The sequence below is a fragment of the Homo sapiens genome, chromosome 4 (genome assembly GCF_000001405.40).
Source record: "Homo sapiens chromosome 4, GRCh38.p14 Primary Assembly".
NCBI lineage: Eukaryota > Metazoa > Chordata > Mammalia > Primates > Hominidae > Homo > Homo sapiens.
In genome coordinates, this window is record NC_000004.12 from 98,626,818 (window position 1) to 98,652,093 (window position 25,276).

Here is a 25,276-nt window from a genome sequence, read left to right on the forward strand (position 1 = left end):
TGTTTTACTTATTTTTTCTTGTTGGTTATCTGTTACCCTCCACTAAAATGTAAGCTTCATGAGAGCAGGTTTTTTTTTTTTTTTTTTTTTTGGTCTGCTTTGTTCTTAAATGTATCCCATTTGGCACGTAATAGACATCAAAAAATATTTACTGGCTAAAAGGATGAATGAATATCATCAATGCTCCAAAAAAGGGTACTTGATTAATGAAGCATTGTAAGAGAGAGCAACCAGCTTGGGGTAGGGGGCAGAGCGCCTAGCTCTCCTCGTGGCAGGTAACACTAGTGGGGTTTTCAAGGAAGGACAGAAAACATCTCCTAAGAAAAGGAAGGACATTCTACACATCAGCTGGCCTGTAATTAAAAGTGTCAGTGTCATGAAAGATGAAGGAAGAATGAAGAATGCTTCTAGAATGAAGGAGACTGGAAAGATATGACAGCTGGGTATGAGTGATCCTGAACCGGATCCTTTTGCTATAAAGGACGTTACTGGGATAACTGGAGAAAACTGAAGGGATTTTATCAGTGAAGGTTTATAGGAGTTCTTATTTTAGTATTTTTGCCATTTTCCTGTAAGTGTGAAGTTGTTTCAAAAGGAAAAAAAAAACACAAAAGGAACCAGAATAACACGAGTAAATGCAATGCATCAAATGATCTGTGAATAAAATGCCCACTGAATAAAACAGGGAAAAACAACAACTATTTCTTCCAAATGTTCCTATTTCCCTTACTCCCCCATTCCTCCATGAAAAACTTTGGGCCTGTATCATCTTGGCTTAGAGTCAGCCAAATACGGTCATTCTTCTTTAAGTATAAATGCAAATAAACCCCCTGGATTTCAGTGGGAACACAGCATGCAGCAGAACATTTGTGTGTATAAACTCTGTAGTAAATGACATCTCTCTTCTCCCTACAGAGTAGAAGCTTGATCTCCATGAATTGCTGTAACTCAAAACATACTTTTTACACAAAAATAATGATGGGGTTGAAAATAGAAAAAGTAAATCTTTGGACTGGACTGCTGTTGTGAGCCAAAGAGAATGATTAAATATAAAACAAGAGGGAAAAAAACAACAGCACTAGGTTATAAAAGAACAGATTGACATAGATTTTTTGAAACTGGAAGTTACAGGCAACATGCCTAGAATTTAGATAACAGTATTAAGGACTGAACACTCATCCAAACATCTACAGCTCCCCTGACAGGTCAAATTCCATTACAACAAACACCAGTGCAATAATAATCTGAGTAATCCAAAGCATTCCTGGTTAACGACCTCCTTAACTCAAGCAGTATGCAATATCTAACACCATTCCCCATTTTAAACACAAAAGTACAAACGTAAATACAGCAAGTGATTGTTCACTGTACAAAAGGACTCATCAGAAGTCTCCATAATAAGGTATAAGGGTTTTTTTCAACATCTAGACTAGTGTTTGTGGGGCCATTTTTTAAATACAGAAAAAAAAATTAACTTACATGCAACTTTTGAAGGACATGTCTAGATACAGTGGACCCAAAATGTTAACAGCAACTGAAAGCAAGCACAAGTTTAACATGACAACAGGAGCATCTATAGATTGACTCATGTACCTCCCAAGTCCCCTACTTTCCTCTGTAATGTGGGGTACACCACACTGCCTGGTATTGGTTTAATTTGAATTTTCTTCCAAATTATTAAAGTTGACAAATTCTCATTTTTTAAATATGAAGTTCCAGCCTCTCCTGGAAAATGGTTAGATCTGGCAACACAGGTACAGATTCCTGGGTCAACCAACAGCTAATGGAAACCAGCTCCCTGATAGGCATGGCAGAAGCATTGCTGACCCCTTTACCACACTCCCCATCACTCCCTATTGCATTCCCAGCACCCTTAATGGCTTATTTTCTGCCTGGTCCTTCTAAGCATAGGAATCTGCAACACCAGCTTTTAAAACAACTAAAACAAACAAACAAAAATTACTACTCAACTTGCTGATATATCAAAACTGAGCTGTATCATACATTGTCCTATGATACATTGTACATTGCAGAGAGAAGGCATGCTAAGTTAATATTATGGATAAATTACTTTAAGATTTCTCTAAATGACATTCTCACAAGCATCCCTGGCAAAAGGCAACATCTATAATCTTTAACTGAAAACACTTTGCTTTGGAAATGGGAATGCTTTGAATGTACCTTAGCTTATCAAAGCATAAATTTACTTGTTTTTAAATGAGTTCAAAACTAGCCATCATAGTTATTTATGTATATGTTACTGCAATTAAATAAAAAGGAAAAAATGCTTATAAACACACACATATTATCCTGAAACAGAAACAATAAGCATAATTACTCTAAAGTGGCAAAGAATGGATAATTTGTCTATGAACTATTTCACAGTCTTTGAGTTGTACTGTGTATTACACATAACCAGAATATCTTCAGTCTCAAAAAGACTATTTCTGAGCACACAACCAAGATTGCAGGCAAGTCACACAACCCCTCTGTGCCTCGATGTCCTCATCAGAATAATGTGAAAAATAATAGTGCAGACATCTTAAAGGGTTACTGGGAGGATTAAATGAGCTGATACATACAAACAGCACTTATAACACTGCCTACCACTATTGCCCAACCTTGTATCAATCGACACACTAGCCTAAAATGCTGATAAATTACGTTCTCCTAATGCAAACATTCTCATCTCTGCTCTGGTTTGCAGAATGAAGCAGTCTCCTGGTCTTTTATCCAAAGCACACTCCAGTATTATTAATTTAAGTTGCTGCTAAATCTCAAAAGTCATTAATAAAATGTAGTGATTTCTCAAATGGTTTATGGTCAGCCACTCTAAGAGGTACTTAATAGAAAAGAATTAGCTCAAAGCTGGTATCCAGATGATTTATCAAAACAACTATCAGGTTTAAAGAAAATCCCCAGGGCAGTAAAAACCCAGCATTCAAAAAACACCAATGAAGAAAAAGACTGTTGCTATTCACAAAGGTACAGACTGTTAGTGAGTGAATAAATGGAAGAATAAATGAATGAAGATCAAATGGGTTATTTGCTGCTGACCACAAACTTATGCTTCCCTTTCAAAAAAAAGTATTTTTAATCAGATCCTCTGCTTATATTTGTGTCATTGTTAAACTGTCTTGTCATACTTACATAACCAGGTAATAATAATCTATGAAAATACTCGACTAACCAACCCAAACGCTTTCCCTAAATCTTAACATATGCACTGACTGCATTTGGTGTGGTCAGAGATGGGCCCTGTCCTGAATTCACGCTCGAGTTGGGGAACAAAACTAACCAACAAGGATTAAGTGGTAACCTCTGAGTATCTACTAAACAGCATCAGAGTTCCTGGAGGGTTATGCCCAGGGTAGGCTGCAAGGGTGCTCAAAGTGAACAAGAACAGGACAAAGGCAAAGCAGAGGAGGCACCAAACGAAAAGCACTGCAGCTGTTCCAGCCATGAGGCCTGATGGAGAAAACAACATGGCACATGTTCTGCTCAGCAAATCCCTACCCGCCTCCAATACATACAGCAGCACCACCTCCTCTAAAACATTCCCTCATTACCTGATCTTTAGACTTATACACCACTTCTCGTTTATGTGTGTATTTATTTATATGTTTTTCCTCCATTGGACTGAGAGCTCTCAAAGCACAAGAATCACCTTAATCCATCTTGTATTGTCATCCGAGGCACGCATATTCCCTAAACATCCCTGGATTGAATGAAGATGACTTAGCAAAGGGAGGGATTCTCTCAACCCGGGAGACTGTGCACATAACTAGAAAGGGAGGGGCCCACGGAATCCAACGCCAAGCTTCCTGTGCATTGGTGCTACCCAGGAGAAAGGAGTGCCCCTGTCCTCAAGAAACTTAAGTCCACTTAGATCACAAAAAGTTCTCTGAGAAAGTATGTGAAGGGCTCTATTTAGACAGCTATTTATTACTCTGAATTTGAAGCCCTCCTCCCCTTGAAGTAAGGCCTACTGGCTTAAGGGCCCTGCAGAGCTAAAGATGTGAGGATAACTTGCCACTGGTGCTTAGCACAAATAGCGAATGAGAGTTCACTGGGAAGTACAAACGAAGGGAATCAACTTACTCATAAATCTCAACACCCTTTCTTTTGCTCACTGGCTGAGAAACTGCCATCTGGAAGGCTCAGCAGATAGATGAAAGGCATTATCACAGTTCTACTGGAATATTTCTGCTTGGCAAAGAACACAAGATGCCAGAACTTGAAAAAAATCATGTAATTCTGATGACCTCATTTCACCTTTCTTTTCAGCCAATCCAAATTCAGCCTGTTGTAGATATTTAACAATTAGAGAAACCTTGCAATTACTTTGCTGAATCGCTCGACTGGCAAAACGTCCACAAGGCCTGCGCATCTCCTACATTCTAATGCTCTGGTAGCTCTGAGACCCACGGCAAGCAAGGAGAGCACCCCCTACAGACAACATTCACACTGAGAAGTGGCAAGAAAGTGAGGAAGACAATTCCAGGTCCCTGAGTCCACCACCAGACTCTCATCAAGTTCACCCCAATATCTGGGAAGCATATAGCCTTCACTGCACATGTTCCATCCCTGACTCCGGGTGGGTGCACCTGTACCTGTGAAACAAACACACCCACACACAGGCAAACATAGCACTCGATCTTTTTTTTTTGGCATTTGCTATGTCATCTGGTATCCCTCCAGACTGCCTGGGCCTCCACGAGTCTTAGATGCCTGACCCTGCAGGGCCAACATGAAGGGAGCCACCACTTCAAGGTCCCATCCAACTGCTGCTAGGAAGCCAGGCCTGAGAGGGGCTCTTTAGTGTTGTTCTGTTTTAAGACCTCAGGCTATAGGATCTGATAAAAATTATCTTCAGACTAGTGGTGTCATAAAAACCCCTTTTCCCCTGAAGGGACCCAGCAATTTGAAAGTGCCTTGCAAAGCATGTTCTCCTGGATTCTTCAGAGCCTTTCCTGAGGCAGACGAGCATCTGCTCCAAGTCAGACAGGAGGAAACTTTGTCTCTGGGGACTCGGCCATAATAGGCCTTAGAAACCAAGATCTTAGGCCACTTTTTAGTTTTTCACTGTTAGTAATTCAACAAGATTCCCCTGGCACCGTGCACACTACCTTCTTTGAGTCTTTACATCAGTAGAGAAATGGATGCACAGATCATCTGTGTGCCTCTCACTGAGCCCCCGCTAAACACACGACTAAAACCAGCTCTCCCCTAGAATGCATTTTGTTTGTTTGGCCAAACACAATGCAATAGTGTCCTTGACCCCTTCCAGTTGAAAGTCTGTCTGCCTCTGACTGGCAGAAGTACCTACCCTCTGCCACCCTGTGTTCATTTTCCATTTCTGTAACAGTCTTGGTGCCTCCCACTATCATATTCCAAAATCCCAGGTGCACAGAGAGTGTTCTTACCTCTTAAAATGTTAACAACAGGCACATCTGTATATGCTGCCAGAGTTTCAAGAAGATAAATTATCTTCAGCCAGAATCAAAATTCAGCAACAGCTCCCCTCTGACCCCCCGACCCTGGAACCAGGCTCTCCCACTCTGGGAGCCTGACAATAAAACCTTTTACCTGAATGACTACATATCACTGGGCTTTAGAAGGGATCATCATATATGCTGTCATTCAAAATGAGAGTAACTTTGAAAGTGAAAGGGGACACTATTAATAAATTACATGGGGACTTCAGGGGTATACCAGCACTGTCACGGAAAACCAGGACCTATGGAGCACTTCGAAAACCCTGCCCTGAGTGTGGGTGCTACCATCAATGCTGCATTAAAAGGACAGCCACTTCCCTCTGGAAGTTGACTGCCTAGCGCAAGATACAGACAATCAAATAATCACCCAAATATGCAATAATGACCTCACCTAATTATGATGTATGCTCTGAAGGAAAAGTCCTGGGTGGTATGACAGAATATTCCAAGGGTTAACTTGACTGGGGATGGGGAGGAGGACTGGAGTGGAAGAGAAGGAAGAGGAGAAGGGAATAAGGCTGCAGGTGGGCCCTGAAGGAGAAAGCACAGACCGGGAGGATTTGATGCTGCACCAAAAGCAGCAGAAGCTGTGGAGGTCACTCATAGCATGAGGTGTCGTGATCAGACAGACATGAAGGACCACTGAGGTCCAGGGCAAAGCATGAACCGTAGGCAGGAACACGGAAGGCAGACAGCAGGAAGCCAGGGCAGTTGGGAGGATGGAGGCTCAGACCAGGGCACTGGTTGGACTCATGAGGGCAAAGGGAGAGCTGAAAAGGTAATACCCAAAGGTGATAGGTGAGAGGGTTACCAAGATTCTGGCTTAGCCAGAAAATAAAAGGGCCAGTACATAAAACAGCAAAGCCAGTTCCTTATATAACCCTAAAATGCCTTAGGGTGGCCTTGTAATCTCCTTAGTACAGCATGAAAAATCCCTTGCAAGGTAATGTTAAAATGAAATGCAAACACTAAAACTACGCTACAACAGTTTTCCCTCACCCACAAATCAATGAACCTTTCAACAGTTTAAACAAGAGAGACTCACCTAAACAACTCAATAATTCTCAGTGTTTGCAGCGACCTGTTCAGTTATGTCACCCAATAATAAAATTGCAGATGAAGTTATGAGTCCTGAGTGATACAGGAAGTTTGCCTTGAGTGTACAGAGATGGTATTCAAATCTCAAACCCTCTTCAGGATTCGAAATCTCTAAAATCATATCTGACCCCTATTTATTTCATCACTTCGATGAACAATTTTATTTTTAAACAGAATTTAAAATGATCAGCACTCACCCTTTGAGAAAATCTGATAAATAAACACACAGGAATGGTTTAGGTTACAATGGCTGCACTACCCTGAACCACTGCCCGCAAAGACTGGATCGTCATGAAATATATCACAGACAGGAAAAGGAACTCTGCCCATCCTCTTTTGTATGTCATGCCAAGAATTCTCATGTACTTAAAAGTGATCAATCACGGCCGGGCACGATGGCTGACGCCTGTAATACCAGCAGTTTGGGAGGCCGAGACGGGAGGATCACCTGAGGTCGGGAGTTCAAGACCAGCCTGACCAACATGGAGAAACCTCGTCTCTACTAAAAATACAAAATTAGCCAGGCGTGGTGGCACACGCCTGTAATCCCAGCTACTCAGGAAGATGAGGCAGGAGAATCGCTTGAACCCGGGAGGCAGAGGTTGCGGTGAGTGGAGATGGCACCACTGCACTCCAGCCTGGGCAACAAGAGCGAAACTCTGTCTCAAAAAAAAAAGGAAAGAAAAGAAAAAAAAAGTGATCAATCACAATAAAAATTACTAACAACTTCTATGTTTATATCATACTCTCCATTTCACAAAGCACTGACCTTTTTCAGTGGCCTTGGCAGCACAAGCAGGCAAATATACATGGGAGTATCAAGATTTATCACAAGGGCTTGACTGGCAGGGAGTGGCAGGGCTCTTCCATATGCTATCTCTACAGCAGATGGGTACAAGGGGCCTTTTGCCTTGCCCTACCTAAGCCACCAAAGGAAATCTCTCTGTGACCAATGTCTGGATTATAGCATATAAAGTTTCCTTTCCTGAGACTGTTACCTCCCAAATTTTCTAGAAAAATTTCCATTTCAAATACTGTCAATTGACATGCACAAAAATGTACTTTTTCCCCTTTTGGGGTAAATGTATTATTTTCAATAAAACCCATCAAATGTGGTTTACTTTGCATGCTATTATAAAACACTTGCTGTAAGTCCACACATAAGGAGGGAAAAACGCTTTGTCAGATGCTTTGTCCCAAATTAAATTTTTTATAATATATACCACCTCCTTTTCTTGAAAGACATATTCCCAGCTCACTGAAAAAAGGGTTCCAGGAGGTATCCATGAAACACGAAGGAAGGATCTGAGAAACGATAGCATCCTGAGCACCCAAAATGGTGACAGATAAATTTCTACAGATGAAGACCAGAACAGAGTGGGGAGAATGAGGAGAAGATAATGAAAGGGATTATAAACCCAACTGGACAGAGTGGGAGAAGAGACAAAAGATGTCCATTCTTTGGAAAGTCCTTTGGGTTGGAACTGAAATGGATCACAGAAGTGGGGACCCTATACTACTTAGGACTTCTCCACAGACAGACCTGTGAGTGATTTGACAGACCACAGCCTTTCAGGGTGAGAGGCAAGAGAGCTGGACAGAAGCACAGGTAAGGAGGCTGCCATTTATAACAGGCACTTTCCATTCGCCCCAGTCTCCACCATCAGCTGCCTGCTCCTGCACCTGCATATCTTTCCACATCACAGAAGGGAAAAAATATTAGTTGACATTTAGCTAATTTTACAGTTAACGAAGCACTCTCACATTTTCTTATTTAGTCATTCATGCATTCAAAACAATTTATGGAATGCCTTCCAGAAGCCAGGCCCTGGCAAAGCTTGGGATAAAACCCCCTTAAGGTCCTATCCCATGGGGAACTCAAAGACCAGTGAGAAATGGGTCCTCTAACTGACTTAGCACCAAAGAGGTCATGGTGACAAGCCTGGGCCTGATAGTACACCCTGTGGAGGTACTATCCCAACAATGAATCCCCTACATGAGGAAGGGATTTATTGGCTGATGTCTTTTATCTTTTCACCATGGCTTAGAATAGTTCCAATGGTGGATCTAGCTAGATAGAACTCAGCCCATATGACATGACAGCTTGTAAAACTCACAGTTTAATAGCCAGCTTGTATTTGAACCATTTAAACCCACCTTCGATTTATCCTTTAGAAGACAAACAATTTGCTGTGAATCAAAGACCATCAGGTGGAAAATAAGGTGCTGAACGGGGGAAAAAAAGAGACTACAGCAAAACAGATTGCCCAGAGCCATTCAAACTGAAAAAGCACAACATGCCAGACTAGCACTCTTTGGCTGAGAGCGTTCCACAGCCCCCTCTTCATAGATGCCATCCACCTGGCCAGAAGAAAATTAGACAAATACTCTTTTTAGTATCATTATAGATTTAGGTATTCTTTATGATTTAAAAATATTGCCAACAAAGAGCTATAAGGAATATATAAAGACTGAACTGCTAAATAGGGTCTCCCTAAATAATAGGGTAGGGATAGAAGAAGTTTAGGAAAGAGCACCCAAAGGGTATAATTCTGGAACCAATTTTGCAAGAGTAACAATAATAGCAGCAGCAGCTAATCAAGCCCTGAGCTAAGTGCTTTGTACTCATTACCTCTTTATTCTTTACAATCTTATTGTAAAGGTAGACACCATACCTTTGATGGAAGGTAGACAGAAATGGCAGAAATATCATTTAAAGCAGAGGTAAGCGCAAAGCTACAGAGTCAAGAAATGTAAATAAGGGCATAATGTGGCAGTTCTCCAAGTCCCAATTCCCACAAGGTGGTGGAAAAAGGACTGACACCTGCATACATAGTGGACTGCTTTACAGTGGAGGACCCTTGAACTGAGGGAGCCTGAATATTTTATAATGGACATCAAATATGCCCTACACCTTTGCTCCATGCAGGTAAGACTGTGGAACAGAATATGGATGAGAAAATATGAGAGGTGACAAGTAGGCAAGGTTCCTATAATGGTGCCTAGCTTTAATCTTTTCCAAATTAAGAATATTTAGCTATTTAAAGCAGGGGAGTATGACATAATCAGAATTGCTGCTAGAGAAATCTCCTGCAGTAGAGTGGGGAGAGTGGCGCTTTAGGGAAGGATGGGAGGTATTATAACAATGCAAGTGAGAAATTACTCATAGAGGTATGCAATAAAAATAATTTTACATATAAATATTATCTCTATTAATCTGTGCACTTAAATAACACCTTGTACATAAAATTAAAAGAAAGTCAAGTAAAACTGCTGGAAAAAAATGCGGCTGGCAGCTTCTTCATCTGGATGACAAATATACTGGACTGAAATGTCAAATGTAATTATAGCCAGACTATTAATTCACAAAAAAGAGTTAACTATTTTGAACATGAATGATCAAGCTTATTCTTTAACATAAGTGAACAAATGGTTTACTTGGCTTCACAGGTACAATAAGAGAGGTTCAGCAACTGCAGGTCTTTTGGTCTCCCTAGGCCCAGTGGAGACCAGCTGGAGAGTGGACCCTGGTGTGAGGTTTCTTAGCCCAGTCTACAGGATACCAAAGCACCTGATGAGCAGTCCTTGTCAGGCTTAGGAACCCTCCCCCTTGGTAGGGAGCTTCCCAGCTTCCCCATGAGAAGCCCCATCACCAGCAAGTTCCTCTTCAAAGAGTGAGAGGCACAGGCAGTAGTTATCACACTAACAGAAGTGTCTGAAGCCATGCAACTTAAAAGGACTGTCCACTTTCTATGCCACTTACTTAAGCCTTTGAAGGACTGCCGTTGCTCCTGCCCTTGATGCACACAGCACTGCCACACTGCACAACTCCAGGGAGCATCACGCACATTCCAGGGAATTGTGCAGTTCGCCTCCTGTGTAGCTGTACATGGCGGCCCTCAGGGATAAGAGGTCACTCTCCCACAGATACTTCCCCATTAACATCTACTTTCTGATCCATTATTTTTTTAATCCCTGTATCCCTGGATTCCAGCAGTAACTATGGGTCTCAACTGATGACCACAGGCAGTTAATAATTTTCACATATTATTAAATATTTAGAATTTGGTTTTGACTAAATGTCATTAATATTCATTTTGCAAACAACAGGAGTGGTGTTTCAACATCTTATCTCCTATATTTGAGCCCTGGGAGTCCTCTTTAAATCTAGAATCTTAATTTCAGGCCTAATTATTATATAGATATATTATTCTTTTGATGGGGGAAGGAGCAAAAACTTGTTGCAGTTTACAAGTAAATACACTTTTACAGCTCTATCACAAAGAAAAGGTACAAAAACAATTGTTCTGAACAAATGTCCCCACTTGGCTTTCATTAACTGCATAACTTAATTATAAATGTTTCTCTAAATCGCCCAAACCAACTTCAAGATGATCTAAGTGTCACTCTCCAATAGGCTGGTTAACTGCTTGAAAGCATTTTATCTATAAATATCAAAAAGTAAACTTAGAAATTATCTTTCCTTCATGTCCAACAGTGCTGAAAGGTGAAAAGAAAAAGAAAGAAAGAAATTATCTGCCTCAGTCCAATTTCAACAGAGCCAGCCTGTTTCTGAGATCGGCTCTTCCTGCTCCTTCTTAACTCTGCTCCACGGTCTTGGCCTGGACTTTCCCACCTGTCTCTTCTTATTTCAGGGCCAGATGTCTGACCACCCTTGCGCCTTGCCTCTGCCTGGGTTATAATTCGTGCCCAGTGGGGCTGTCTACGCTCCTGATGCCATGAGTTCTCCTGCCCCTGCCACCATAACACTGGACCCTGTTGCTCCGCACGCTCAAAAATCAAGCACTCCCATGTGTCACAGTTTTACATGTTGCCTCACTTAAGGTACAACAATGTCAGTAAAGATGCCTTGGTCTCCCTTGGCACTCAGTTCCCTGGAGATATACTGGCCAGAGGCACAGATATGAAATGCCTGTGAAGCCTTCATCAGGTCTAAGGGAGCTGAGATGCTCTGAGGAGCCACCCACCATGACCCTTTGAACCATACTTTGTGGGGGAGGCCCGGGTGATTACCTCCTAAACAAGACACATCTGAACGCATTTAACTGGCTAGGTATCAACTTATATGTAATACACCGGCATTTGGTTTCTTTGTTTTGGTTATTTTACATTTACTAGTTTATTATTTTAAAAAATTACAATGGATACAGATGAAGAGATTCACAGGTAAAGGTATGGGGCAAGGGACATGGCGCTTCCATGCCCTTTCTAGAGCACCACCCTACAGGAACCTCCACATGTTCAGCTCATCTGGAAGCTCCACCTGTATCTGGTCTTGTTTGATTTTACCCTACTCGCAAGGTAATAAGTTAGCCTGTTACTGTTTCATAGAAGCTGGCAGAAGACATGAGATTCCCGGGTCAAGGACAAAGGACTTTATTATTCACAGCATGATTCAGACAACACCAGCATCATGTTTACATCAGTCCAATGGAAATAGCGTTGAGGGGCCCAGATGGCAGCTGCACATGCAGTGAGCGTGCATCCAGCTGAGGAACCTATGCTTGGGAAACCTGCTGCTTTATAGTAAGCAGTAAGTGAGAGTAGGTCAGTCTTTGTCCCAGAAAGAGACACTACTTCATCCCTCAAGGCTGCTCATTGCAAACACAACACGAAGAAATGGCCCAGGTAAAGAACGTTCTTGGTATACTCAGTAAGACATGCAGGAGCACAAGAGACCCATGGAGAAGTGTCTCCCAACAATTTGTGTGTATTCCCAAACTTAGATGACTATCCTTACGGGGTTCTTGGTCTCAGCAACTCCTCCACATGAACCCCCTGCTACACTCTCAATGTCATGGGTTACAAAAGCAGCAGTACATGCCTCTCACTGGAAAAGGATTTTGAAACACTGATCTTATCTATGTTATCTATCTATTCTAATCTAATCTAATCTAATCTGAGACAAGGTTTTGCTCTGTCGCCCAGGCCAGAGTGCAGTGGCAAAATCATAACTTACTGCAGCCTTGAACTTCTGGGCTCAAGTAATCCTCCTGCCTCAGCATCCAGAGTAGCTGAGAAAACAGGCACACCCCACTGTGACTGGCTAATTTTTTTTTTTTTTTTTGTACAGACAGGGTCTCATTTTTGTTGCCCAGCCTGGTCTTGAACTCCTGGCCTAAAGCAATCCTCCCACCTCAGCTTCTCAAAGTGCTGGGATCACAGGCATAAGCCATCTCACCTGGTCTCACCCCATAATGTAACTGTTTACTCCAATATCACAGTGTAGGATTCCCCACAAGCATATCCTTCGCTCAATATGGTGACCCAACCCAGCTTTTGCTTCTTTCCTTCCTTTCTGTTTCACTTTCTTCACCATTAGAAACTTATCTATGTTTAGAAATGCACGAGAAATCAAGAAATGAATGACTAGTAGATAGGACAGAAGCTGGTTTCAATCTGGTCAAAACATTGTTCCAGAAATCTTTACTTAGTTAAGGGAAGAAAAACCATTTATGACAGTTAAAGGAAAAGAAAGCACTTATAATAGCTCAGAAAATGAAAAAGGATCAGACAGAATTCCACTTGACAAATGCTCACATTCTGAAAGGCACTAACTTAGGGAAGGGAGGGAGCTTTCCTTTACTATAACATCAATGATTTTTTAAGACATATTTTTACTTCTCAGACAGTGAAGAACAATTTAAAATGCCAGACTCCTTAAACTTCAGCAGCCCATAAAAATCGTTTGCAACAAAAAAAAAACTGTAATCATGCAAATATAAATTCAATTAGAGAATCTGTAACTGCCATAAAAATGAAGTATATATTAATAAATTAAGCAACTTCCTAAACATGCCTATTTTTACACATTACAAATTTTTGCAGAGACCCAGATGGATGCTAACTTTGTTCCTAGGCTAAGAAATTTATTTCAGATTCAACTAACGTATTTCAATTAGTAATTATGGGATAGCTGCTATATTTCAGGTAGTTTTCTAGGCATATTTATATACATGATTTTACGGAAACTGTAATGTTCTGTAGATACTACCATTTTAAAAAAACAAAACAAAACAGGTAGGTCTGTGGCCTGAAAATGATCCCTGAGGTAAGACATAAGAAATGTTGGCGTTGTTATCCAGAAAGGAAGGACTGGCCAGGCCATGTCAGGAATGGACGTGGTGGACAGCTATGGCTACACAGGAGAGGAAATTACAGCCCAGGAGGAGAGGAACATGGCAGCTGCTCTGATGAGAAAACCCTCAGATCCAGTTGCCAAAGGAAAGCATGGAGATACACTCTCCTCCAATGGGTGGGGGACAAAGGAAACAAAGCCTGGCATTAGTGACAAGTTCTATTATACAGGGTACACTTTTCTAACAAGGAAAGTTGAGGGTCCGGACACTGACAACACCTTTTCCCAGGTGACAGTGAACCAAAAGCCCGCAACTCCCCTGAGTGGGTCACCTACTGGTCCCTCAATTATCACGTCAGCATTCACTGAGTGCTCAGGGTTGGATGTACATCATCTCATGGAATCTTCACAATGATCCTAGAGGTCGCCACTAATATTACCCACTTTTTGCCCAAAAGGAGTAGTTCAAAGTGATGAAGTAACCATCCATGGTCACACAGCTTGGACATATCAAGGCCCATGTTTGAATCCAGGCAGTCTCACCCTTAACCACTGTCTTACATGTTGTAATATTCTCTGCCTAGCATTGGGAAGAGGAGGGGAGAAAAAGTTAAATCACAGAAATAAAAAAGTAAATATCCCCTCTTTTTATATAATCTCCTACTATCTGGAGCTCATCAGTATAAAACAATAAAATAAATTCCATGGATACCTGCATTCTGTAACAAAAAAACCAAACAGGACATATGTGAATGTGTAGGTTATGTTCGTCACCACAGAACCTTCAAACACCTAATAACTTGTTTAAATGAAATATAAAAATATTAAAGATGACAAAGAATTTCAAATAATGCCTATGCCATCAAGCTTAACTTACTCAATATACAATTTTATGTGCAAATTAATTGGAAACCTTTGTGTTTCTGCTAACTTAAAGGCCACATATGGAATCCATATGAAGCAGAAGTTTTTGAGTCTGCTCATTCCAAAGCATGAGAGTAATGCATAATAAATAACCTGAATAGTTACTTAACATAAGCAAGGTTGATGTTAATCAAAACGACTGCGCCAAAACCATTTAGTGGAACCAAATACAGTCAAAGTGCTGGGACTTGGGAACTTGGACAATTCAGCGTGCACACATCCTACAAAGAACACAGGCCAAGTGCCGACTTCATCCTAATTCAACATATAAACGGTAAGCAGATGCCTTCTCCACCAGTCTCAGCTCAAACTCCACCCATGGGTAAAATCCACCAGGACTCCCACTGTCCCCTCTGCACACTGTTCCTACACAGTGATACCAAGAACACAGCTGAGGCACCTGAGATGCTGGGCTCCCAGAAGAGAAGCTCTGTTCTTTGTTTTATAAACTGGGGTCTTTGCTTAAAATTTTGGTTAGGAAAACAAAGGATTCCACTATGAAAAGGGTAGGCAAAGTGTTGAACAGTGAGTAGTAAAAACTAGGACCCAAATTATTTGTAAGGTCTCTTTCAACATATAAATCCTAAGATTATACAATCAGGGCTGCAAAAGACCAATTAAAGCATAGTTCTAATACTTGAGTGCTAAAAAGATTGGCCAAAGAACAATGAAATAAGCATTTGCACAGCTATTCCTGCTCAAAAGAATTCCAACCTTCTGTTCTTTCATCAGCAGGTCAACCTTCTTAGAGCAAGAAAGAGGTTTAGCTTCCCTAAAAGTAAAAAGCTCTGTCTTCTCAATTTTGGAATTAGAATCACAGAAAGAAGGGGGCAGGTGAGGGAAAAATTCCACAGAAACAACACTTAAACTTTAAAACTGGATTTTAAAAGATTCTTAGCAATAATTAATCATTTGTTGGGGTCTCTAGCTAAGACTTAGTAACTTCATAGTTCAAAGAGTTTCTTTTCTAGCCTCCAACTAATAACCACAAAATTTTTTTTCTGCTTATGTGTTAGTTTCTAAAATGGATCTCCAGCTTTTAACTTTAAAACAAGTTTCATTTAGTTTGCATATTTATAGTATACTACAGTAAAGAAATTTTAGTCTCTTATGAATGAAAATATTTAGAGGTGATACGGTCATTTAGGTAGTTTCTCTTTTTTTTTCTCCAAAGAGAGCACATATCTACAGTCCCACACTACATAACGACATTTTAATCAATGACGGAATAACTGTGGTCCCATAAGATTCTAATGAAACTGAAAAATTCCTATTGTCTAGTGATGTATTGATGATCTTGATCCTGTATAGGTCTAGGCTAATGTGTGTGTTTTTGTCTTCATTTTTAACAAAAAAGTTTTAAAGATAAAAAATAATTTTTAAAAAAAGGCTTATAGACTAAGGATATAAAGAAAATATTTCTGTACAGCTGTACAATCTGTTAAGCTAAGTGTTATTACAAAAGAGTAAAAAAGCTAAAAAAAGGTTAATAAAATAAAATGTGACAGTAAGCTGAGGTTAATTATTGAAGACAGATATTTTTTGTAAATTTAATGTAGCCTAAGTATAGTGTTAATGTAGTCTGCATTTGTGTACAGTAATGTCCTAGGCCTTCCCTTTCACTCACCACTCACTCACTGACTCACCCAGAGCAACTTCCAGTCCTGCAAGCTCCATTCGTGGTAAGTGCCCTACATTGGTGTACCACTTTTTTATCTTTTATATTTTTACTGTACCTTGTGTATGTTTAGATACACAAATACCATCGTGTTATAAATGCCTACAGTATTCATTACCATAACATGCTATACAAGTTTGTGGTCCAGGAGCAACAGGTTATGCCATACAGCCTAGGTGTGTAGTAGGCTACACACCGTCTATGTTTGTGTTGTACACTCTACAATGTTTGCACAATGATGAAATCCCATGACTCATTTCTCAGAACATACCCCTGTTGTTAAGCGATACATGACTGTACTTTTTTTAAAAAGTCCAAGGATATAGATCAGTATTTAATAAGCATCAAGGATATATATTGGTACTATATATTTTATATTTAAGTGGAATACATATGTATATATTTCACAAAATATATTTCAATTTGTTTTGAGACCCCTATCCCTTCACTTCTAAAATAGTGACTCTGTATCTTTAAACATGACAAGTAAAACACCGTTTTCAAATTTTTGTGCAATTGTTTCAAATCTTCACTGGACAGCAAAACTCTCAAAGCATATAGTGAGAATATTAGGGATTATTAATCTTGCAGGGTCAGGAAAAAATATGAAAATGCCACATATAGTTGTATCATCTAGACAGCTCTTCATTCAGTTTATTCTTTCAAAACCCAATAGATGAAGCCAAAAGAACTTGGTACCAAAGAAAACACTATTTTCCCTAGGATTCCAGTTATGAGATTAAAAACAAAAACAGAGTAGGCTTTCTCACAGGAGTTGCCCTGTGGGCAGTTGTTGCCCATCCTTGGATAAGTAGGGCACCAATAACGAAACAGGTGCTCAGGAAGTTCCCAGCCCGTCTTCTGCCTCCATAAGGTCATGCTGAAAAACATCTAAAACTAACAGCCTGGTTTCTTGGGGTTTAGTTTTCCTGTTACTGAATTACAACTCCTCCCTTTTTAAAAAGTATAGAGTTTTTCAAATGCCTAAAGGAGATTTATTGATTTATTTTTTTTTTCTGGTTGTGTGAAATTGATGTTTATTCACAAGGTATTTGCTCTGTTTGTTGAAAACACTTATTTTAAATGTTGTCCTAAGGGGGAAAGGCCGGTAAAGTCGGAAGAAATGCTTAAAAGCCACTAATGTAAGAGCACATTTTTCCTTTAAAAAGTTAATTAACTAAGGTTTGCTAAATTCAAGGCCTCATAGGGAAATACAACTGAAACTCTAAAATATTTTTTTCATTTGAAGTGTTTGTTCACTGTTCTCGGAGCACCTGACGAAGAGTTTCCACTTTTAATACAGTTGAACCGAAAGAAAATATTATTGTAGTAAATTTCCTTTAAAAAAGCAATATTGATGTTCCCGTATTTTTGGAATAAAAAAGCACCCTTTTTTTTTTAAATTATTATACTTTAAGTTTTAGGGTACATGTGCACAATGTGCAGGTTACATATGTATACATGTGACATGCTGGTGCGCTGCACCCACTAACTCGTCATTGAACAATGAAAAGCACCCTATTTTTAAAATGCATTATGTAAATAGACTCATTCCAAAGCTGACCATAAGCAATACCTATAGTAACTTGAAAGAGGAGAGGAGGAAGCCCACTGAGATACAGTTCCTAAGCATTTAAAGTTGACTTCCTGCTGGCCTGAGATACAATTTCCCAAAGCATTTTCCTTCTCATACCTAAGATGTAACTACTCACTGGGCCTAGGGTTAGCAACTTTTCAGAAATGGGGGATGCCCCTCTTCTCTCCCACACTCTCAACAGAAAACAGAACATGGAGTATGCAAACATTTAAACACATTCCCCAAGCATTTTACCTCTAGGGATCCATCCACCTCACTAATAGATTTCAGTTTATAAATGCATGCCTTGCTGCAAATTACTTAAGCACAAGTGTTCCCCAAAGTGCGATTCCCTGGTGACTTGGGGTACCAGAAGAGAAGTTTTAGAACGTGGCATTAAATATCCTTCAATATAAAGTCACTGGTTTTCAACTATCTTTTCATCCTCTGGTCTAGTTAAGGAGAAAGTCTCCATTTGATGCCAGAATGTCGAACACTTGCTACACTTGTTAACCTCCATTATAACAAAAGAAAAGAGGCCTCTGACTCAGGCTTACCAACAGGCACCAATAATAGCTACCTAGAAGTTAGTAAGTCATATTATTGTCATTATATGCATTTGAATAGTGATACTTTTTACATTCCTTTTTAAATATATGTATTTAAGATTAAAATCAGAGTCAATTTAAAAGAAAAGATTGTTTCAGATGGACTATATCTTTGAGATTCAAAGTGAGATCAGTGGGCCAGAGCCATCAGCATCACCTGGGCATTTGTTAAAGGTACTGGATCTTTGTCCCCTCTCACTCCTACTGAACCAGAATCCGCATTTGAACAACATATCCCATGCCACTTGTATGCATATTAAAATCTGAGAAACTATGGGGTGACACAAGAGTTGGTCCAAAACCATGCAGGTGGTTTACAAATGGCTGAACTTTGGGACTCGCTGCTTTAGATCAGCTGGCGACCTAACTCCTGATCCTCGCTGAAATCAGCTAGTGGAGGTCAGGAGGACCAGGAAGTAACATGGTTCGTGTTTACGCAACAGGGAGTCACAACCCATCTGAGGACCATGAGGTTGATTAATGAATCTAAACCAGCAGTTTTAGGGGTGTTTCTGGTAAGCTAGAGATGACTTTAAATACGCTTCTGTTCCTGTTGTGCTACATATATCATTCTTTTTTACTAATAAAAACTACAGTAAAAATTCTACTTAGACTTATCCCTTTATCCCCTGCTTCCCCTTGAAGGGCTGGGGTTTTCAGCATGCCTTCTGCATGGGAATGAGTGACAGGCACCTACTAATTTAGCACGCCCTGGCCTTCCTCTCAGAGCTGAGCCCAGTTATATGGAAGAGGCAACTTGGAAATGTGACAGCCCACGTCTCCTGTGTCAGGGGACAGTACAGGTGGCAAAAAAAAAAGCACAAGCTCTCATCGCATCCCATTATGCCCTAGAGGAGAAGCCAGTGAGTCTCTCATTCACCAAGATGATTAGTCAATGATCCAGGTAGTTCAATCCAAAATCCTAGCTCTGCATCAGCTGGAAGGACATATAAGGGGAAAACCCAAGTTATCAGGATCACTGACTCAAGTTTCACCTTCATGACCTCAAGAATTTGTCTGAAATAGAGGAAAAAAATGACCAAAATATGCAGGATTTATGATACCATAAAGAACTAAAGACACTTAGTTACAGCCATCTAGATAGTTCCAGAATGCCCAGATTTAACAGATGTTGACAAAGGGTATCTATCCTCCCCACCCCACCCAGGTGTTAGGCCTAACACCACCACAGCTATCCATCAGAAACTCAACTTCCCAGTACAAAATACTAATAGGAGACACTTTGATTTTGCAAAGAAAATAGTGAATGTAACTGGGTAAAGAAAAAAGGGAAAATTAACAACAAACAATAGAAGCGAATTCATGGTCTGGTATCCACGATAAGAACTGCGTGCCACTCATTACAATGAAAAGAACACTGTGAACATTTGTTAGATCTTTTTTTCCTTTTAAGTTATTTTGAGAATGCACTTATGTAGGCAGAATATTACAGAGAACAAAAAATATATGTTACAATGTAAGATTATTTTAATGATTCTGAAAGAAGGGAAAACAATCAAAATAAATTATGAGGAAAACAGTATAATAATTGCTAATACCTATTGACTATTCCAAGCAGTTTACACATATTAACTCCTCAAATCCTCAGGATTCCGAGATAGACGTTATCTTAATACTACTATTAATAATATTAATACTACTAAACGTGCCATTTTGCAGATGAAGGGGAGACTTAACTGCAAGGTGGGCAAGTAACGTCTAAGGTCACAAGCTTGGGAACATAGCTGGGTAAAAATCCAGACACACTCAAAGTCTAAACTCCTTAACAGCAGACTTTCTGCCCTCCCACCACAAGGGTACCAGAATGCCCAAGTTAGGATGAATCTTTCAATACTCTCTCACTCTGAACCAGACGAAGAATTCTTCTAAAAGGTCAGTGACCTATGGAGTCTCCAGTTAAAGGGCTAGGCCACATTGATACAACTATACCTTAAAAGAGAACTAACTTTTGGCATTAAATGCATCATCCATGATTAGATTACTTACTTGGCAGAATTAAATGTTAAGGCTGCTTGGGGGGAAATATCAACAGTTGGAGGAAATTTTTGTTGGAAGCACAACATTATGCTTTGAGAAATGCTTAAGTCAAGTATTCCTCTTTTATTAGGACTACTTAATTGAGTACAATGCATTAAAATAGCTGGCCTGAATATTTATTAGAGCACCAGCTGTTCCCTCCAGATTTTTAGAAATTCAAGCCTTAGTGCCAAGTGTAATTTAGAAAAATTTTCCAACAAGTAAAAAGAGCCCTATGCCTTCTAATACTTATCAAAATAGTAAATAGTAGCTGGAAGTGGTATAGAACATCACTTTTCCCTTCCAATGAAGAGAGCCAAAATGTTTTGCCATTTGTAGATGTTTTGCCATCCACAAAAACACCATTTTGTAATTGGGCTTAGTGATTATATTACTTAAAAATTATACCTTGTGATTCATAACTAACAATCCTCTATGTACATATGGATAATATCACAGTGCTAACCATTGGGTTTGCATACCATTCTGGTTTGGTTTTGTTTGGTTGGCTTTTCTGTTTTGTTTTGTTTAAAAAAAAAAAAAAGGAGTGGTGTTAGACCCAGTAAAACAGCTCAGAGAAATAATACAGAGTTTTATTCAAAATGTTATTTTTCAAGATTTCTACTTTAGGAACCCAGCCGTAATCAAAGATCTAACTTTCAAAGGGGGTGAAGGAAAAAAGAAAGTTAAGAAAATAACAGGAAAACACTAGGCATAACCCGGATATTCCACATTGAAGCTTTCTAAAGAACACTGGCAAATATCATGTCTGGGTCTTCTGTATTTGCTTTATTGTCAACTGTCTTTGTGACAGTGCTGCAAGTTTGGATATGGGAAAAGAAATGTCCCCTCCACAGCATTACAGCAGAGGGAATTCAATGAACCTGTCATGCAGACCTTGACGCAGAAAGCAACTCCCCTCCTACAAACTGAGCATAGTCAGGGCTGGAGGCCAACGAGAAAGCCCCAGAAAAGGGAGGCTGAAAGGAACAGCAACAGTGGATGGGGAGGCTGATTTTTTTTGAAGGAGAAGGTGGTCTGCCCTTGTTAAGTGTCTGTAGTTAGAGCTACTCAACTGCACTGACACACGCAGAGTGGTCCAGGACAAGCAGGGCAAAGGAACCAGAAGTCTAGCTCTTCACTGTGCCTATCGAATAAATGGCTAGCTTCTAGCCCTATATGATGCTAACTGCTAGCAAACTAGTTGCAGCACCAGAGGTTCTCTTTCAAGAGATTTTTCTCATTTTGTTTTTAGGGCTTTCAGGTTTAAAAATAAACTGGCGTTTTTGGATTAATAAAAAATTCCATGAGGGATAAAATAGGCCACCTTTTTTTTCTCGTAAGCAAAGAACACTAGCTTCATGTGCTGGTGAAATGGTCACCGCTCTACACCACCCACGCCCAGCTCTCCCACACATCCCCTCCAGGGAGCAACGGGAAGGAGAGGCCACATCTTCCCAAGAAAAACAAGCTAAAGCTTCTCAAACTCAGCTGGGCATCACAATGACCTGCAGGAAGTTTTGATTTTTTTCTTAACAGAAATTCCAGGACCCCATCCTGGATGGACCTACTGAACCAGATCTCCCAGTGGGAAGACTGAAATTTCCTTACTAATCAGGCTGCCACACTACATGCATAAAGGGGTGAAATATCAACTAATCCTACAGAAGTGACCCCTAGTTAGTGAGAGGGACTTCCCATGCATGGAGAGATTCCAAGAGATAAAAACCCACACGAGGAGTAATTTTTTTAAAAATGTACTTTGGCCATCAAGATTCAAAGACATCTAAAGGCTAGAATACTGGTTCTTTTCTTTCTTAAGTGGTGGGACCCCTTTTTTCAAGCAAAATCTTTCTTAGTATCCCAAAATATCAAACTAATAACCAAGCTTTTCTGGAGGAAAGAGAGGTACTGCTCAGTCCACACCCCACCAGCACAGACCCACCCACCCACATACGCCTCAAGGAGGCCTAGGATTGCTGGTAGCAGGTTTGAAATCCAATGGGCCAGAATAAGACATTTAAATGGGAGAAATAAACAGAACTAAATCTAAATTCAAATAATTAACTGGAGGGTTAGGGCTTCTGATTAGCATATAGCTTAGGGGGATGGTTTAATAGAGTTCACTTGAAAAAGTGAAGGTTTTATTTCACTAAAAAGTCAATCCAAGCCAAAGTGTTCGTTGGCTGCCAGGGAAAGCAAGTGCAGTTTAGCCTGGGTTAATAACTAGTATTTGTATTTAGAGATTTACCATTTATGAAGCACGTTGATATGCATGATCTCACATAATACTGGATAACAACTTTGCAGAAAATTATTTTCCTGGTTTTTTTAGATGAGCAACTGAGGAACTAATCTGTGAAAGTAACTTACTCAAAGTCAATTCCAGACAGTAGCAGAGGCTTCTGCCACCAGGCACAGCACAGCCTAGGGACTGAAGGGAGAGTTCAAGAGCCTGCTGCTCTTCGGATGGTTAGAAAAGCCTGTGAACAACGTGTTTCATTCTGGTTGCTGCATTAATAGAGGTGTGTCCAAATGGGACCCTAGGCAGAGCACCGTGACCAGGGCAAAGAACAATCTGGAAACAGTATATGTAGACCTAACACTCTAAAACCGAACCCTGACATGCTCTTCAACATCTCAAAAGTTACTCCACATCTCTGTACTCCAATTTCTTCATCTGTCACAAAGATATAATATGTTTGGAAGACTCTTTGAGATGCTTACAAGAAAAACATCATTAGTGTAAACACATGGAGGAACTAGGAGCTTTTAAAGGTGGAAAACAGAATGTTTAGGAATGACATAATGGCTATTTTTAAATAATGAAGGACCATGGGGAAGGAAGATAAGTCTTATTTTACATCATTCAAGAGTAGCCGAGGCTCTTCGCCTTCTCCTTCCTGAAAATTCAAAGCCATTAGGTAGGTCCAATCTGGTAGGCTTCCTACGTTTACAAAAACGTAGGAAGAGGGATGCTGTGGAAGCCCAGAGCAGGGTATCTCAGGGAGAAAGGTATCCATATGGGGATGGGGGTGGTGGCACAGGATGCTAGAGCACTAACAGCTGAGGAGGGCAGCCCCAGGAGGAAAGGTGGTGGCAGCTGCAGAAGATTGGTTACATATGGGGAGATTTACCAAATAAGTAAACTGTTAAGAATAATGCGAACCAAGAATCTCACTGTCAAATAAAGCAGTTATAAAATATGGAGAGGAAAAACTAAACCCTGTGGTATCAGACAGGAATTTAAGGTATGACTGTAAACTCATGGTTTTAAAAGTACATAGATACAGAATTACAGATGTACATGTGTGTCTGTATATACACAGAGTAGCAACACCCTAATAGCAATGAGCACACCAAGCAACCAGATCTTGGCTTCTAAATTCCATTCTCCATTCAATAGCTCCTTGGAGAAATGTCTGATACAAAAGATGACACAGGTAAATCACAAAATGAGTTTGGAACATCTTATTCTGCCAGAGAGCAAGATGGTGCTCAAAGACTGATGGGAGTTAAAAGAGCACAGGAGCCAATGTGAAAAGACTGCACTGGCCAAACCTAGGGCCATTTTAAATAAAGTAATGACAGTAACATTAAACCACACTGAAAAAAGGAAGACACTAAGTTCTTACTGATATAAATAAATAACAGATTGAAAATTTGATGAGGAATAGGCTATTTACATGGTTTCAATGTAATTTGCCATAAAACATTTATAAATTACAAATGAGAAAAGAGTAACTATATGGTAGAGAAGCCTGGCAGACAACACCTTGATCAAGTGACCATCATCAGTAATGGGACAAACAGAAATCAATGCCACCCTGATAGGGTACAATGAGAACGCAGCACCATTTCTGTACTATTCCTACCAAAGATGCACAGCCTGAATCTAAGCTTGTGAAAATGGCACAAACACAAACTGAGGGACATTCTGCAAAATAACTGGCTTATAATTGTCAAAAGTATCAAGAGCATGATAGTGAAGGACTGAAAGAGACTAAAAACATGTAACTAAATACAAAGTGTGGTTCTGACCTGAATTCTTTTGCTTTAAAACATTATGGGAGCAACTGGGAAACTTGGATGAAATCTAAGGATTAAATGGTGTTAATGTATCATTGGTAATTTCCTGGCTTTCATGGTTGTACTGTGGTGATCTAGGAGAATAGTCCAGTTTACAGAAAATACATACTCAACTGTTTGTGTGATAGCCAACATGCTGGCAACTTTGTCTCAAACAGGATAAAAACAGGTTCTCTATACTACTTGCAATTTTCCTATTGGTTTAATGTTTCCAAATAAAAATTTTAAATGAACAGTAAATTAGGAGGATGGAAATGATGGGGAGACAGATAACATCTAGTTTGAACAGATGAAACTCTACAATTAAAGTGGTCCAAAAACAGATCCATGCTTAGAAAGGTAGGCACGATACAATGGAGAATGCTTCACTGACTAGGAAGTTAGAGGAGATGATTCCTACGTACTTTCTGATGATTTTGTAATTCTTTCCTTCAACATACTTTTTTTTTTTTTTTTTTTTTTTTTTGAGACAGGGTCTTGTTCTGTCACCCTGGAGTGCAGTTGCAGCCTCAACCTCCCAGGCTCAAGTGATCCTCCCACCTCAGCCTCCCAAGTGGCTGGGACTACAGGCACGCATCACCACACCCAGCTAATTTTTAATTTTTAATTTTTTTTTGTAGAGATAGGGTCTCACTATGTTACCCAGGCTGGTCTCAAACTCTTGGGCAC

At 40.0% G+C, this 25,276-nt stretch overlaps 1 protein-coding gene across 7 annotated transcripts in view, besides 1 other annotated feature; it reads right to left on the reverse strand.

The window, feature by feature from the left end:
• TSPAN5 (tetraspanin 5) overlaps nt 1-25,276 on the reverse strand; it is a 188,245-nt gene that overhangs the window by 156,451 nt on the left and 6,518 nt on the right. The gene's annotated exons all lie outside the window — the stretch shown is intronic.
• Nucleotides 12,943-13,042: an enhancer, noted in NCBI's record as "active region_21735". NCBI's record gives its function as "activates an Ori minimal core promoter by ATAC-STARR-seq in GM12878 lymphoblastoid cells {active_cell/tissue: GM12878}" and the evidence as "EXISTENCE:reporter gene assay evidence [ECO:0000049][PMID:35858748]".